This window comes from Homo sapiens, chromosome 7 (genome assembly GCF_000001405.40).
Source record: "Homo sapiens chromosome 7, GRCh38.p14 Primary Assembly".
NCBI classification, from domain to species: Eukaryota; Metazoa; Chordata; class Mammalia; order Primates; family Hominidae; genus Homo; species Homo sapiens.
Genome location: NC_000007.14, coordinates 3,269,505 through 3,285,227, shown reverse-complemented (window position 1 = coordinate 3,285,227; position 15,723 = coordinate 3,269,505). Strand labels below are relative to the sequence as shown.

Here is a 15,723-nt window from a genome sequence, read left to right as displayed (position 1 = left end):
TTCACTGAATAGGCTATTTTAGGAGGTAGTGAGTTCCCTGTCAGTGGGGCAAATGGAGACCAAATAGCCAGTTTTTAGGGGTGTGATAGAGGAGGGAAGGCAGCAGGAAGAGGGTTGGATTTAGCAAGTTAACGTCCTGCTTAACTCTCCCTTCCAGCTCTGAGTCTCTGAGATTCTTTTTTTTAATGGAGGCAGAGGCTGGCTCTCTCACCCAGGCGGGAGTGCAGTGGCATGATCCCAGCTTACTGCAACCTCTGCCTCCCAGGTTCAAGTGATTTTCCTGCCTCAGCCTCCTGAGTAGCTGGGATTGCAGGCATGTGTTACCATGCCCCTGGGTAATTTTTTGTATTTTTAGTAGAGACGGAGGTCTCACCATGTTGCCCAGGCTGATCTCAAACTCCTGAGCTCAGGTAATCAACCCACCTCAGCCTCCCCAAGTGCTAGGATTACAGGTGTGAGCCACCGCACCCGGGCCCAGCTCTGAGATTCTTTCATTTTTTTTTTTAATTAACACTGTGTCTCATCCACAACAAGACGTGTACACAATGTTCACAGCAGTTTTATACCTAATAGACTCAAGCTAGAAACAACGGAAATACCTTGAACAGGTAAATGGATAAACTGTAACAAGGCCCATATGGAATAATATGCAGCAATGGAAAAGATCCAACTCCTGATACACACCAAAGGGATGAATCTCAAAAACACAATGATGAAGGAATTAATATAGCCTCAAAAATGCACACAGGAGGCTGTAGAACAAGCTAATCTAGAGTGAGAGAGAGCAGATCAGTGGTTGCCCAAGGTGGGGGATGCAGCTGAATGACTTTAAAGGGGTACAAGAGGTGATAGACATAGTCCCTGTCTTGATAGCAGTGATGGTTACATGGTTGTCGTGGGTGTATACATTTGTCAAAATGTATGGAACTACATGACCACAATAGTTGCATTTAATTGTATGTAATTTACAAAAACAAAGCTGATTTTTTTAAAGCATACTTTGTACCCACAATGATTCATGGCCACTTTCATTCATTTGAAAAAACAAATTTTAAGCTTTTCTTTTCTTTTATTATATCTTGAGACAGGATCTCACTCTGTTGCCGAGGCTGGAGTTCAGTGGCATAATCATAGCTCACTGCAGCCTTGACCTCTTGGGCTTGAGTGATCCTCCCACCTCAGTTTCCCAAGTAGCTGGGACCACAGGCATACACCACCGTACCCAACTAATTTTTAAATTTTTCGTAGAGACAAGGTCCCACTATGTTGCCCAGGCTGGTCTTGAACTCCTGGACTGAAACAATCCTCCCGCTTGGGCCTCTGGAAGTGCTGGGATTACAGGCATGCGCCACTGGGCCCAGCCTAAAGTGTTTTTCAAACATCAAAAGTTGCCTCCTTTTTCCAGGACTCTGTGATGTGGTGAGCTGGCCTTATTCACCTTCTCCATACCTTTCGAGGATTTGGATGCGTCTCTTGCACCTATCTTAGCCGTCTTTCTTCCATCCTGAAGAGACATGCATCTCTGTGGTGGCTCCTCCCTCCCCAAGGTCATCGTGGCTGACTTGGGACCTTTCCCAGCTCTGTGTGTCTGTCTTGAAACACAGTTTATCTTCTCTCCATTGGTGCATCCCATAAGTAAGTATTGAGTACTGACTGTGTAGGATGCACCCCTTGCTTATGAGTAGCTCACTGTGCATGACGCAAACATTGAACAGATCATTTTAATGCACTTTCCACAGGTCTGAGCAGAGTTGGGGTGATTCATTCTGAGCAGTCATGGCCCGGTGCATGGTTGTGTGAGGTCTCCTAGAGAAGGGGGCCTTTGAGTTGGGATGTAAAGGGTGCTGGGAATTTGCAAGGTAGTGCTACTTGCTATCTTGCAAATTCTACCTTTAAATTCCACCCTTTAAATTCCAGCTCAATGGAGGCCTTTAAGTTGGGATTTAAAGGGTGCTGGAAATTTGCAAGATAGAGGTACTTGCTGTGGAGGGAAAGACGATATTCAGAAGCACAGTTACACAAGTTAAGAGGATGGCCAGGAGCAGTGGGTCACACCTGTAATCCCAGCACTTTCGTGAGGCTGAGGCAGGAGGATCACTAGAGCTCAGGAGTTCAAGACCAGCCTGGCCAACATGGTGAAACCTCATCTACTAAAAATACAAAAATTAGCCAGGCATGGTGGCGGGTGACTGTGATCCCAGCTGCTCGGGAGGCTTAGACAGGAGAATCGCTTGAACCCAGGAGGCAGAGGCTGCAGTGAGCTGAGATCATGCCACTGCACTCCAGCCTAGGCCACAGAGCAAGATTCCATCTAAAAAAACAAAAAGTTAAGAGGAGCCACCAGTACTGGGGTGCAGGGTTTGGGGAGGAAATGATGGAAGATGAGGCATTTCGAAAGCAATGGAATAATGAACTCTGTCCTCCAATGACCTGATGCCCTGCCTGCTAAGGTCCAGCATTCTGATCTCATCTCAGCTGACATGTTCCAGCAGGACTGCACAGGGCCTTCTCGCTCCTTCCTTGGGTTGCAGCTGACATCTCCAAGTTATTTTTCCCTGGCTGCATTTCCAGGGTTTGCCTCAGAGAAGCTTATTCGCCACTTCCCTGCTCACACGCTCAGCCCGGAACACCTCCTAATGTTGGTCTCCACTGGCCTCACATCCTACCACCCGGGAAGGTCCAAGGTCATGTGCTGCGTCAGTGACTTCACTGGGCACATTTTCTTCCAGAGCATTTGCAAAAACATCACAAGATCACTTGCAGTGCTCCACACCAGGGTCCCCACAGATGAAACTGTTCCTGCCAGAGTGGCCTCTTTATTATTCCCTGTCTCTAAGTCATTTTTAGATTCATTGAATAAGCCCATAATGCTCACTGCATAATATCCTAACTAAAGGCTTTAAAATAGATTTGAGGACCAGGTAGAATACAATGGCTTAAGTCTCTAAGTCCCAGCTTCTCATGAGGCTGAGACAGGAGGATCACTTATGCCCATGAGGTTGAGGCTGCAGTGAGCTGTGATCGTGCCACTGCACTCCAGCCTGGGCAACAGAACGACACCCTGTCTCTTAATTAATTAATAATTAATTAAATACAGAATGAAAAGACATCACTAATGCACAGTAATTTTCATTACTGTTTTTCAGGGTGCTTTAGAAACAGCAGGACCCCAGGCCAACTGAGTCAGAATTTAGGGATGGTTTGAGAGTCTACTGTTCAACCAATACTGAAAACCAGTGCCTCACACCAAATCCCCCCAGACAGAACCACCCAGTGGGGAAGTGAGGTTGGTGGGGCGGGGTCCCAGCTTAGCGCCTTCTCAGCTGTGAGATCCAGGCCAGGTCCCTTTCCCTCCATGAGCCTCGGAATCCTCTACGGAATGAGGAGTACATTTTGTGCTTTACAGGTGATGACAATCTCTGCCTTGTCAAAGGCTATTGGATCATAATAAGCTCTACAAATATCATTGTTCTTTTATTTTGCGAATTTCTTTTCCTGAGAGCTTTTGAGATCGTTTCAGAAGTGGGACTCTATCTAGGTAATGTTTTCGCCTTTCTTCTCATGGCATTTATCTTTCTCTGCGTTGCCTGACTCTCATTTGTGTGTTGGGATCTTCCTCCCCTAAGATGCTGGGTATACCTTAAGAGCAACAAGTGGCCCTTCGTCTTAATTTTTTTGGGAGACAGGGTCTTGCTCTGTTGCCCAGGCTGGAGTGCAGTGGTGAGATCATAGCTCACTGCAGCCTCAACCTCCTAGGCTCAGGCAATCCTCCCACCTCAGCCAATTCAGTAGCTGGGGCCACAGGCGCACACCACCATGCCTGGCTAATTTTTCAATTTTTTGTAGAGACAGAGTCTCACTATGTTGCCCAGGCTGGTCTTACACTCCTGGCCTCAAATGATCCTCCGCCCTTCATCTTTTATCCTTGGAGGTCAGCACAGTGCTCGGCTCCCTGGCTCCCCAAAGTATTTGTGAAATGAAAGCAAAATCGCTTGATGGGTAGTCGCTGAGTAAATGTAGCCTGCCCAAAAATATCCCCTGCAAATACTTTTTGCATAACAATGGCATTGAAGGCTGAAGAGGCCAGAGAAGTCTTTGTGAATTGTTAACCGTCTTATGTCTCCGGGGAAATGGCTTGTTCCTTCTGAATGATGGCCCAATTAACAAGGGGTTATGGTTGTAGCAATAGGGACATTTCTTTCATTACACAAACATTTATTGAATTTCTACGATGCATCAGACACAGTTTAAGGGTCAGAGAATCAGACAAGAATAAATCCCTGTCCTCAGAGAACTTACGGCTTGGAATATACACAGGGAAACAATGAATTAGGATACAAACGATCCTTCTGAAGTCACATCTCAGCTAAGAGAGGATATATTACAAGAGTTTAAAAAGATCTGCCATTTATTACTGTGGATTTTCTAAACTTATAATAACATGGGAGAAAGCCAGCGAATGTGGGTTAAGTATGTGATCAAGATTGATGAAGCATCTGTTAGAGAGGCCAAAAGGAAAGCCTTGTTGCCTTCTTAAGAAAATAATTGGAAGAGACAGAAGCTGACCTATTCAATGAGACATTAGGTAACCAGAGAGCAGATAAACTAAACAAAGCCAGGCTGCAGATCCCAATGCCAGGAGCCTCCATAACAGGGTGGCTTGAACAGCTCCTTGGCAGCAAATGGAGATCTTGGCATAGCTGGCATCGCAGAGAACTGGTGGCAGGAGAACAATTGATGAGATGAGCTTCTAGGCCAAAAACCGCCCAAGAAAAAGAGGAACATGGCCGGGCATGGTGGCTCACGCCTGTCATCCCAGCACTTTGGGAGGCTGAGGTGGGCAGATCACCTGAGGTCAGGAGTTCGAGTTCAAGACCAGCCTGGCCAACATGACGAAACCTCGTCTCTATTAAAAATACAAAAATAAGCCGGGCATAGTGGCATGAGCCTGTAGTCCCAGCTACTCAGAAGGCTGAGGCAGGAGAATCGCTTGAACCCGGGAGGCAGAGGTTGCAGTGAGCCAAGATTGCACCACTGCACTCCAGCCTGGGTGACAGAGCAAGACTGTCTCAAAAAAAAAAAAAAAAAAAAAGAAAGAAAGAAAGAAAAAAAAAAAGAGGGACAGGCAAATGGAAGGAGAAACCCTGCTTGGAGAAGGATGACATAAACATCAGGGGAGCCCCTGCACCTGCCCCACTGAAGGATGCACTAGGGGATCCCAGGACTGGACATCCTAACTCAAGTCCTAGAGGGAATTTGCTGCACTCCTCACCCACACCTCCATCCTCCACGCACACTGCCAGGCACCCGTCGGGACGGCAGGGTGGAGAGAAACGTTAACTGGGAGCAGCCATGTGGCCACGGGAGTCCCGGGATTGATGGCGACCATTGATTTCCCACTGCCTGGCCATGGGCCGGACAAATTGCTCATTGAACAGAAAGTCAAGGCCAAGTGGCTTTAAAAGTCAGTGGCTCTTAAGAAAAAAAGAAATTCAAATTTATGGAAAAGTGTAAACACTAGTACAATGAACACATATACCTTTCTCCTAGTGTTAACAGTTTAACACTTAACAGTGTTGACAGAGCGAAGTGCTTAAGTGTTAACAGTTGGTCATCCCCTCCCTGTCTCTCTACCGTCTCCCTCTCTCCCCTTTTCTCTGTCTCCCTCTCTCTCCCCTCTCTCCCTCCTCCCCCATCTTTCCCTCTCCTTCCTCTCTGTTTCTCCCACTCCCTTCCCCTCTCTTTCTCCCTCCCTCTCTCTTTCCCTCTGCTCTGTCTCCCCTTCTCTCTCTTCCTTTCTCTCTTTCCCTCCCTCTCTCCCTCCTTCCTCTCTCTCCCCTTTCTTCACTCTCCCTCCCTCTTTCCCTCCCTCTCTCTTTCCCACTCTCTCTTCCCCTCTCTCTCCCCCAACTCTGACTATCTCTGTCTCCATCTCTCTCTCTCTCTCCCTCCCTTCCCCTCTCTCTCCCTCTCTCTCTCCTCTCTCTCTTTCTCTCTCCTCCTCCTCTCTCCCTCTCCCCCCTCTCTCTTCCCCTCTCTTTCTCCCTTCTCAGTCTCTCCCTTTGTCTTCCATGAGATGTCTATTTTGGTAGCAGAGGCTGTGAGCCCAGCCTTCAGAATAGATCCTAAATCTGACCACTCTCAGCACCACCTTAACACCCGGCACTGTCCTCATCTCCTCTCACCTGCACTGTTACCACCGTTCTTGCTTTCATTCTGGTCCCTGTACAAGTCTGTTCTTCATGCAGTTTCCAGAAAAATTCTTCTAGAATGAGCTTGTCCAACCAATGGCCCACAGGCCACATGTGGCCCAGGGCAGCTTTGAATGCAGCCCAACACAAATTCATAAACTTTCTTAAAACATTATGAGATTTTTAGGCCAGGCGTGTTGGCTCACGCCTGTAATCCCAGCACTTTGGGAGGCCCAGATGGGTGGATTGCTTGAAGTCAGGAGTTCAAGCCTGACCAACATGGTGAAACCCCATCTCTACTAAAAATACAAAAATTAGCCAGCTGTGGTGGTGCATGCCTGTAATCCCAGCTACTCGGGAGGCTGAGGCAGGAGAATCACTTGAACCCGGGAGGCGGAGGTTGCAGTGAGTCAAGAACGCGTCACTGCATTCCAGTCTGGATGACAGAGTGAGACTCTGTTTCAAAACAAACAAACAAACAACAACAACAACAACAAAAAACATTATGAGTTTTTTTTACATTTTTCATTTTTAGCTCATCAGCTATCATTAGTGTTAGTGCATTCTGTGTATGGCCCAAGACAATTCTTCTTCCAGTGTGGCCCACGGACACCAAAAGATTGGACACCCTGTTCTAGAAGGTAACAAGATGATGTCATTCCCTATTCTCAACTGTATAGTGGCCCCCAGAACACTTAGACCTGCTCTGTGCAAGAGGATAACAACCATAAGTGGCTATTGAGCACTTGAAACATGGCTTGTATGCTTTTAAAAACAAATTCTATTTGAAGTTCTTTGAGAAATCTCCAAACGACTTTCTACAGTGGCTGAACTCATTTCCATCCCCACCACCCATCTGCTTATACCAACAGTGTGTAAGCATTCCCTTTTCTCTGCAGCCTCACCAGCATCTGTTGTTTTTTGACCTTATTAATAGTAGCTGTTCTGACTGGTGTGAGATGGTATCTCATTGTGGTTTTGATTTGCATTTCTCTGTTGAATAGTGATGATGGGAGTTTTTTCATATGATTATTGGCTGCTTGTATGTCTTCTTTTGAGAAGTGTCTGAACTACCATTTGACCCCGCAAGCCAATTACTGGGTATATACCCAGAAAAACAGATCATTATGCCAAAAAGATGCATGCACATATATGTTCATCACCACGTTATTCACAATAGCAAAGACATGGGATCAACCTAGGTTCCCATCAGTGGCAGACTGGATAAAGAAAGTGTGGTACATATATACCATGGAATAGTATGCAGCCATGAAAAAGAATGAAATCATGTCCTTTACAGCAACATGGATGGAGCTGGAAGCTGTAATCCTAAGCAAATTAATGCAGGAACAGAAAAGCAAATACTGCTTATTATCACATATAAATGGGAGCCAAACATTGACCACTCATGGACATAAAGATGGGAACAGTAGGCACTGTGGACTACTAGAAAGAAGAGGAAGGATGCGGGGGCATTGAAAAACTACCATTGGGTACTATGCTCACTACCTGGGTGCAATATACCCATGTACAAACCTGCACGTGTACCCCCCATATCTAGAATAATAGTTGAAATTTAAAAACAAAAAACAAAAAGCAAGTTCTATACAGACTCATCAAAGCAGAATGAAAACAAGAATGTCAATGTTGTCACCTTAAAATTTGACAAATACTTCCAATTCACGTATAACAATCATGAAAAATTGTCATCAATCTGAAAATAATGAATTATTACAAGACATATGAAGAAATAAAGAAAAAAAGCAATGTGGCTTGGTGCAATTGAGGAAATATTTAAGTCAGTTTTATTTTTAATTAATTTAAATTTAAAAATTGGTGTCCAGTTTTATTATTTGAAACTGTTTAAGTACAATTGGAACAACCTGGGTATGTGAATCTACTTTTCACCATAAACTTAAGAAATCCAAATATTGCTTAAGCATTTCTGATAAAAATTTAGGCCGGCCTTGGTGGCTCAAGCCTGTAATCCCAGCACTTTGGGAGGCCAAGGCGGGCGGATCAAGAGGTCAGGAGATCGAGACCATCCTGGCTAACACAGTGAAACCCTGTCTCTACTAAAAATACAGAAAATTAGCTGGGTGTGGTGGCGGGCGCCTGTAGTCCCAGCTACTCTGGAGGCTGAGGCAGGAGAATGGCGTGAACCTGGGAGGCAGAGATTGCAGTGAGCCGAGATCGCGCCACTGCACTCCAGCCTGCGCAACGGAGCAAGACTTCATCTCAAAAAAAAAAAAAAAATTTAATACCTGAGTTAGGAAGTTTTCTTTTTTTCCTTTATTTTTATTTTTAGTTGAGAAGTTCTGTAAGTATAAAAGTATGCACCAGATTTTGAAGAAATTTTATTTTTAAAATAGTTAAATATATCTCGTAATTTTTTTACATTGATCACATGTTGAAATGTTAACATTTTAGATATACTGGCTAAACAACATATTATTTAAATTATTTTACCTCTTGTTTTTCTTCTTCTTCTTCTTCTTCTTTTTTTTTTTTTTTTTTTCCTGAGACGGGGCTTGCTCTGTCACCCAGGCTAGATGGAGGGCAGTGGCACGTTCATAGCTCACTGCAGCCTCAAACTCTTGGGCTCAAGCAATCTTCATACCTCACCTGGAACTAAGGCATGGCCCACCGAAACTGGCTAATTTTTAAAATTTTATTACAGATGGAGTCTCACTACATTGCCCAGGCTGGTCTTGAACTCCCGGGCTCAAGCAATCCTCCTGCCTTGGCCCCCAAAAGTGCTGGGATTACGAGTGTGCCCTACTACACCAGGACAATTTTTTAAATTTTTAGTAGAGAGGAGGTCTCACTATGTTGCCCAAGCTGGTCTTGAACTCCTAAACTTAAGCAATCCTTCTGCCTTGGCCTCCCAAAGTGCTAGGATTACAGGCATGAGCCACTGCGCCCAACCTTACCTCTTTCTTTTTGTTTTTTTCACAATGTGGCTTTTGGAAAAGTTTAAGTTACATACAGAACATCATGTTCTGTTCTTCTCAGGCAGCATCAGCTTAGAGTAAAATCCAATGTTCTGGCTCCCGTCCTTCTCTGACCTTGTCTCCTAAGTCTGTCTCCACAATTAACTGGTACAGTTGTCCAGGTGTGTCCTGAACAATGATGTCAGTGGTAATTAGTCTACCCAGAAAGGGCACCTTTTTCTAACAAACGTAATTGTACCATATGGGCTAAAAGCTGCCTAGACTCACTCCTCACGTTCACGCCATCCAGCTGGCCTTGCTTTCTTAGATCACGCCAATCTCTTTCCTGCTTCAGGGCCTTTGGACTTGTTGTAGCATCTCCCTGGAATACTCTTCATGGGCTTACTCCCTGACTCTGTGTAGATCTCTGATTGAAAGTCAATTCTTCAGAAAGGCCTTCTGCCAGGCTTAGTGGCTCACACTTAGAATCCCAGCACGTCGGGAGGCCAAGGCAGGACAATCACTTGAGCCCAGGAGTTCAAGACCAGCCTGGACAACATAGGTAGACCCCGTCTCTACAAAAATTTAAAAATGTGTTGGGCATGGTGGTGCATGCCTGTAGTCCCAGCTACTTGGGAGGCTGAGGTGGGAAGATTGCTTGAGTCTGGGAGGTTGAGGCTGCAGTGAGCCATGATTGTGCCACTGCACTCCAGCCTGGGACACAGAGTGAGACCCTGTCTCCAAAAAACATTTAAAAATTTTTAAGAAGGAAAGAAGGAAGCAAGGAAAAAAGGAAGGCCTTCTATGAACCCTTTCCCGATATGATTTGGCTGTGTCTCCACCCGAATCTCATCTTGAACTGTAGCTCCCACAGGTCCTGGGAAGGACCTGGTGGGAGGCAGTTGAATCTTGGGGGTGAGTCTTTCCTGTGCTCTTCTCCTGATAGTGAATAAGTCTCATGAGATCTGATGGTTTTATAAGGGGGAGTTTCCCCACAAAAATTCCCTCTTGTCTGCCACCATGTAAGACGTGCCTTTTGCCTTCCACCATGATTGTGAGGCCTCCTCAGCAAAGTGGAACTGTGAGTCCATTAAATCTCTTTTGTTTTTTAATTTTTTTGCTGGAGTTTTTGCTCTTGTTGCCCAGGCTGGAGTACAATGGCGTAGTCTCAGCTCACTGCAACCTCTGCCTCCCAGGTTCAAGCAATTCTCCTGCCTCAGCCTCCCGAGTAGCTAGGATTACAGGCATGCACCACCACGCCTGGCTAATTTTCCATTTTTAGTAGAGACAGGGTTTCTCCGTGTTGATCAGGCTGGTCTCGAACTCCCGACCTCAGGTGATCTGCCGACCTCGGCCTCCCAACGTGCTGGGATTACAGGTGTGAGCCACCATACCCAGCCTCCATTAAACTTCATTTTCTTTATAAATTACCCAGTCTCAGGTATGTCTTTATTAGCAGCATGAGAACAGACTAATACACCTTACAATCACTTATGACTACCTATCACCTTTTGTGTTCATCTTGTCTAAAATGGCACCCAACCTCCCCACGCCATTTGTTCTCAGAGGACTTACTGCCTCTAGAAGTTATATTATTTATGTATTTACTCACTTGTTTGTCTCGCCCACTGAAATGTAAGCTTATGAAGTGGGAGCTTTGTCTAATTCACCAGTATATTCTCAGTGCCAAAAACAGTGGTAGCACTAGAAAGGCTGTTGACTGAATGAACAGATTCCTGTCTCAAAGGGTGGTTGGCAGCACTTACTGAGGCACAGGGTGTGAAAGTGCTTTGTAAATAGTTTAGATCACTGAAAGAAAAAAAAAAAGACAAGTTGTTCAAACAGAAGTAGAGAATCCTTTGAGGCAAAGCCAGACATAATTGGCCAAGACTTTGTTGTGTAGCTTGCAAGAGATTCTCAAACCAATTGCATGAGAAAAGACCTTTCAGTGATATTGAAGAGGAAAGACTTCTAGAGACTCAGCAAGAAACTCATCGTGAGGTTGCATTGATCTGGACATTGGCTGCAATCTACAGGACCTCAACTCACACTAGCTCAGGCAAAAAAAAAAAAAAAAAAAAAAAAAAAAGAAAAAGAATTATTGGCTCATATGCCTGGAAAGGCAAGGGATAGAGCTGATTTGGGAGACCACAGATGCTGAGTTCTCGGGATGACACTCTCCTAATCATGCCCTATGTCTCTCTTCCCCCCTATCTCTTGCTTCTCATTCTCTGTGCTTATTGGCATCATTCTTATGTGCTTCAAACATGTCTCTCCATTGGAAAACTGAGAAAAGGGTCAGGAGTAGCTCTGGAATTGTCCATATGATCAGAAACAGCATCCCCCATGGGCTCCAGTTAGAAACATTTCAGGGAAGCTTCTAGTGACCCATCCCTGGGCTAATTTCTGTGGCCAAGGAGGATGTGTACTGTGATTGGTGATCTCCAGTGCAACTACCATGATGGCGTGTGGAGGAGATCATTTCCCCAAAGAGAGACAAAGTGGTACTGGCCAGACAAGCTTCACAGGTGGGAAGTGATGGAGACAGCACTTCAGCTCTTGTCAGCCTGACTCTAATGCCGATACTCTCATTCACTAAGCAACACAACCTGCTGATCACAGTATAAGGTCAGTATCCTGCAAGGAGAGCACAAACCACCAACTCAGTTGCTCACTCCATTTTTGGAAAGGATGGTGTAACTAATAGATGTTCCCTGCAGAGGAAAGAATAAAAAGAAAACAGTTAATGGATTGAATGGACTTCTAGCCTGGGTCTACAGAGGCTATTTGAATAGCCTCTACACAGACAGGTACTAGATCACACCGTGGTCAATACCAGGATGTTCTAAGCCAGATTGGAAAGAATGAAGTGCAGATCAATCACTGCAAGCAGATGGCATCCACCTGAGAGAGCTGCAGGAGCTCATGGATGAAACTGGGATGGTTGATTGGCAGGAATGTGGGAACTGTCAGCCCAGAAGGCCACTATAGTGGAGAGGATGTCAGCTCACAGATGTGACCCTGGCCATAAGAGTGGCTCAGAGGGGCCTGGGGAATTACAGCGCAGATGAGTCAGCTCTCAGCCACCATCTGGACCAAGCTGGTGGCAGTTGAAATAAAAGAGAGAAGCCTGTGGACTTAAAAATAACCTACAGGGCAGGGAATGAATGGAGAGTGGGAGAAAGAGCTGCCACGCAGGTGCTGCCCAGAGAAATCATACTTGATGGCTGTGCTAGAGTCTTCCAAGGCCCAAGAGGGTGAGTCAGTGTGTGTACAAAGGAAAACTGATGGATCTAATTTCTACATGGGAGATGTACAGCAAGCAGCCAATTTATCTGGAAAACAGTACATTTTCTGAGTCATACTGTCCTGGCTCAAATCCCAGCTCTGCCACCAACTTACACTTTGTGAACTTGGTCTGGTTGCAAACCTTGCCTGAGCTTCATTCTCCTCACCTGTAAAATTAGGATAATCACACCTCACTCCAAAGGCAGTTCTGAGGATTAAAACTGATAAGAAAAGTACCTAGCAGGAGGGTCATAAGTGAGAGCAAGGATTATCTACCATATCTGAACTGATGAGTAGTATAGCTGAATTCTATAGAGCCCTGGGGTCTCTGGAAGCAGAGCCTTTGGGGCCTCTGCAGAGGGTCATTGGAGAGATCAGGAAACAAGGGTCCAGCCCCCTTACCTGTTTCCCCTCAAACAGTTCTACTTGTAATTATTTTCTTCATAAGATTTCGGCCAGGCACGGTGGCTCACACCTGACATCCCAGCACTTTGGGAGGCTGAGGCGGGTGGATCACTCGAGGTCAGTAGTTCGAGACCAGCCTGGCCAGCATGGTGAAACCCAATCTCTACTGAAAATACACAAAAAAATTAGCCGGGCATGGTGGCGTGCACCTGTAATCCAAGCTACTCAGGAGGCTAAGGCAGGAGAATTGCTTGAACTCGGGAGGCAGAGGTTGCAGTGAGCCGAGATCGCGCCACTGCACTCCAGCCTGGGTGACAGAGTGAGAAACCATCTCAAAAAAAAAAAAAAAAAAAGATTCCTTTTGTGAAAAAGTATATCATGGTGGGATTCTCTGTCCCCTCACCTTCCATTCCATCCTTACTGCTTGTGGAGGTCATTTAACATAATTAATGATGGTTCTACTTAAATGCAATACAAGTTCATTTGCTTCTAGATTTACCACCCCAAAGACTCTAAACCACTTGCACCATTAGTGAGTGGCTGGGAGTGTGGGCTTTAGAGCTAGACTGCCTGGGTCTAAGTCCTAGTTCCGCCTTTACTAGCTGTGTCATCTTAAGGGAGTTATTTAATGGTTCTATGGCTCAGTTTCTTCATCTGTAGAATGGGGTAGATCATCCTAATAATACTTGGCTGATAAGGACTTCCTGAGCTAATACATGCAAACCACTACAAATGATGCCTTACACTGTTAACTGCTGCTGTCATCATCATTATCACAACTACATCATCACCACCACCATTACCAGCACGGCCACCATCATCTTCACCACCACCACCACCACCACCATCATCACCACCATGATTATCATCATCATCACCATCATTATCACCATCATCATCATCTTCATTATCATCACCATCATCACCACAACCACTATCACCAGCACTACCACCATGATCTTCACCATCACTATCATCTTCATCATCACCCCAACCATCATCATCACTACCACTACTACCATCATCTTCATCACCACCACCACCTTTATCATCTTCATCATTATCACCACCGTGATAGATAATATTGAGAGTCAACTTGATTGGATTGAAGGATGCAAAGTATTGTTCCTGGGTGTGTCTGTGAGGATGTTGAGTCAGTGGACTGGGAAAGGCAGATACACCCTCAATCTGGGTGGGCCCAATCTAATCAGCTGCCAGCAAGGCCAGAATAAAAGGCAGAAAAAATGTCAAAAGACTAGACTGGCTTAGCCTCCTAGCCTAAATCTTTCTCCCATGCAGGATGCTTCCTGCCTTTGAACATCAGACTCCAAGTTCTTTAGCTTTGAGACTCAGCCTGGCTTCCTTGCTCCTCAGCTTGCAGACAGCCTATTGTGGGACCTTGTGATTGTGTGAGTCAATACTCCTTAATATATATATTAAAGAGTACTTATATACTCCCATATATATATATTCTATTAGTTCTGTCCCTATAGAGAACCCTGTCTAATACATACACCAGCATCATCATCATCATTATCATTACCACCACCATCATCATTATCACCATCATCTTTACCATTATGATCACAACCATCATCACTATTTTATTGTCGCCACAACCACTACCATCATCACCACCACCATTATCATCATCATCATTATCACCACCATCATAATCATCTTCATTATCTTCCTCACCACCACTATCATCATCATTACCACCACCATCAGTATGATCATCATGAACATCATCATCCTCACCACCACCATCATTATCTCCACATCATCATCACCATCATCATCTTCATTATCATCACCAACATCATTGCCATCATTATCTTTACCATCATCATCATCACCACCAACACAAATATCATCATCATGAATATCATCATCCTCACCACCACTATCCTTATCACCACCATCATCATCACCATCATCATCTTCATTATCATCATCACCACCAACATCATTGCCATCATTATCTTAACCATCATCATCTTCACCATCATCATCACCACCACCACCACAATATCACCATCACCACCACCATCACTACCACTACACCCACAGAAATTTGTGGCAATCTCCCTTGCTCTCCAGAATAGAACAAAGAAAGGCTGAGGTGGGAGGATTGCTTGAGCCCAGGAGGTCAAAGCTGTAGTGAACCATGATCACTGGGTGACAGCACAAAACCCCATCTCAAAAAATACAAAATGTATATATATATATGGTTTCCTGACTTTGTCAGGAAAAAGTCAGTTTCCCTGACTTTGACTGTGCAGGAAATCAGAAGTTGGTGGTCAAGACCCTGGTTTGGGAGTGGGTAGAAAAGGGAAGATGAAGGGCAGCCTGGGGAAGATAGGGTCCTCTATATCCTATATCTGAGGCCATTTCTGCAAAGCCTCAAAGACGACCTGAGGAGGAAGGGGCTTTTTTTTTTTTTCTTTTCTTTTCTTTCCTTTTTTTTTCTTTTCTTTCCTTTTTTGTCTTCTTTCCTTCCTTCGTTCCTTCCTTCGTTCCTTCCTTCCTTCCTTCCTTCCTTCCTTCTCTCTCTCTCTCTCTCTTTCTTTCTTTCTTTCAGGGTCTCACTCTGTGGCCCAGGCTGGAGTGCAGTGGCACAATCATGGCTCACTCTAGCCTCGACCTCTTGGGCTCAAGTGATCCTCCCACCTCAGATTCCCAAGTAGCTGGGACTACAGGTGTGCAACAGCATGCCCAGCCTGAAAGGGCTGTTTTCTGTGTTGCACATTCCCTGGGCTGATATTCACAATCAGCTACAAGATGCTCGAGTACTTTTTCTGGTCTTAATCTACAAATTCACACTCTTCTGGATGTCTAGTGGTAGCACAACAGCAGGGTAACAGGGTTTCACTGCTGCAAAAAAGTTTGAAAAATACCTACTT

General features: G+C 45.0%; 1 long non-coding RNA gene across 4 annotated transcripts in view, besides 1 other annotated feature; it reads left to right on the top strand.

Annotated features, from left to right (window-relative positions):
• Positions 1–15,723, top strand: part of SDK1-AS1 (SDK1 antisense RNA 1) — a 108,539-nt gene that overhangs the window by 66,858 nt on the left and 25,958 nt on the right. The window contains exon 2 of one of the 4 annotated variants that reach the window (XR_926997.4): positions 1,406–1,635. The exons of the other annotated variants lie outside the window; for them this stretch is intronic. This is a non-coding gene — a long non-coding RNA (SDK1 antisense RNA 1). The remainder of the gene's footprint in view (positions 1–1,405; positions 1,636–15,723) is intronic. 4 annotated transcript variants of the gene reach the window in all.
• Positions 3,783–4,320: an enhancer, noted in NCBI's record as "OCT4-NANOG hESC enhancer chr7:3320540-3321077 (GRCh37/hg19 assembly coordinates)". NCBI's record gives its function as "activates a minimal SCP1, AML or CMV promoter by ChIP-STARR-seq in primed H9 embryonic stem cells {active_cell/tissue: H9 hESC(primed)}" and the evidence as "EXISTENCE:reporter gene assay evidence [ECO:0000049][PMID:30033119]".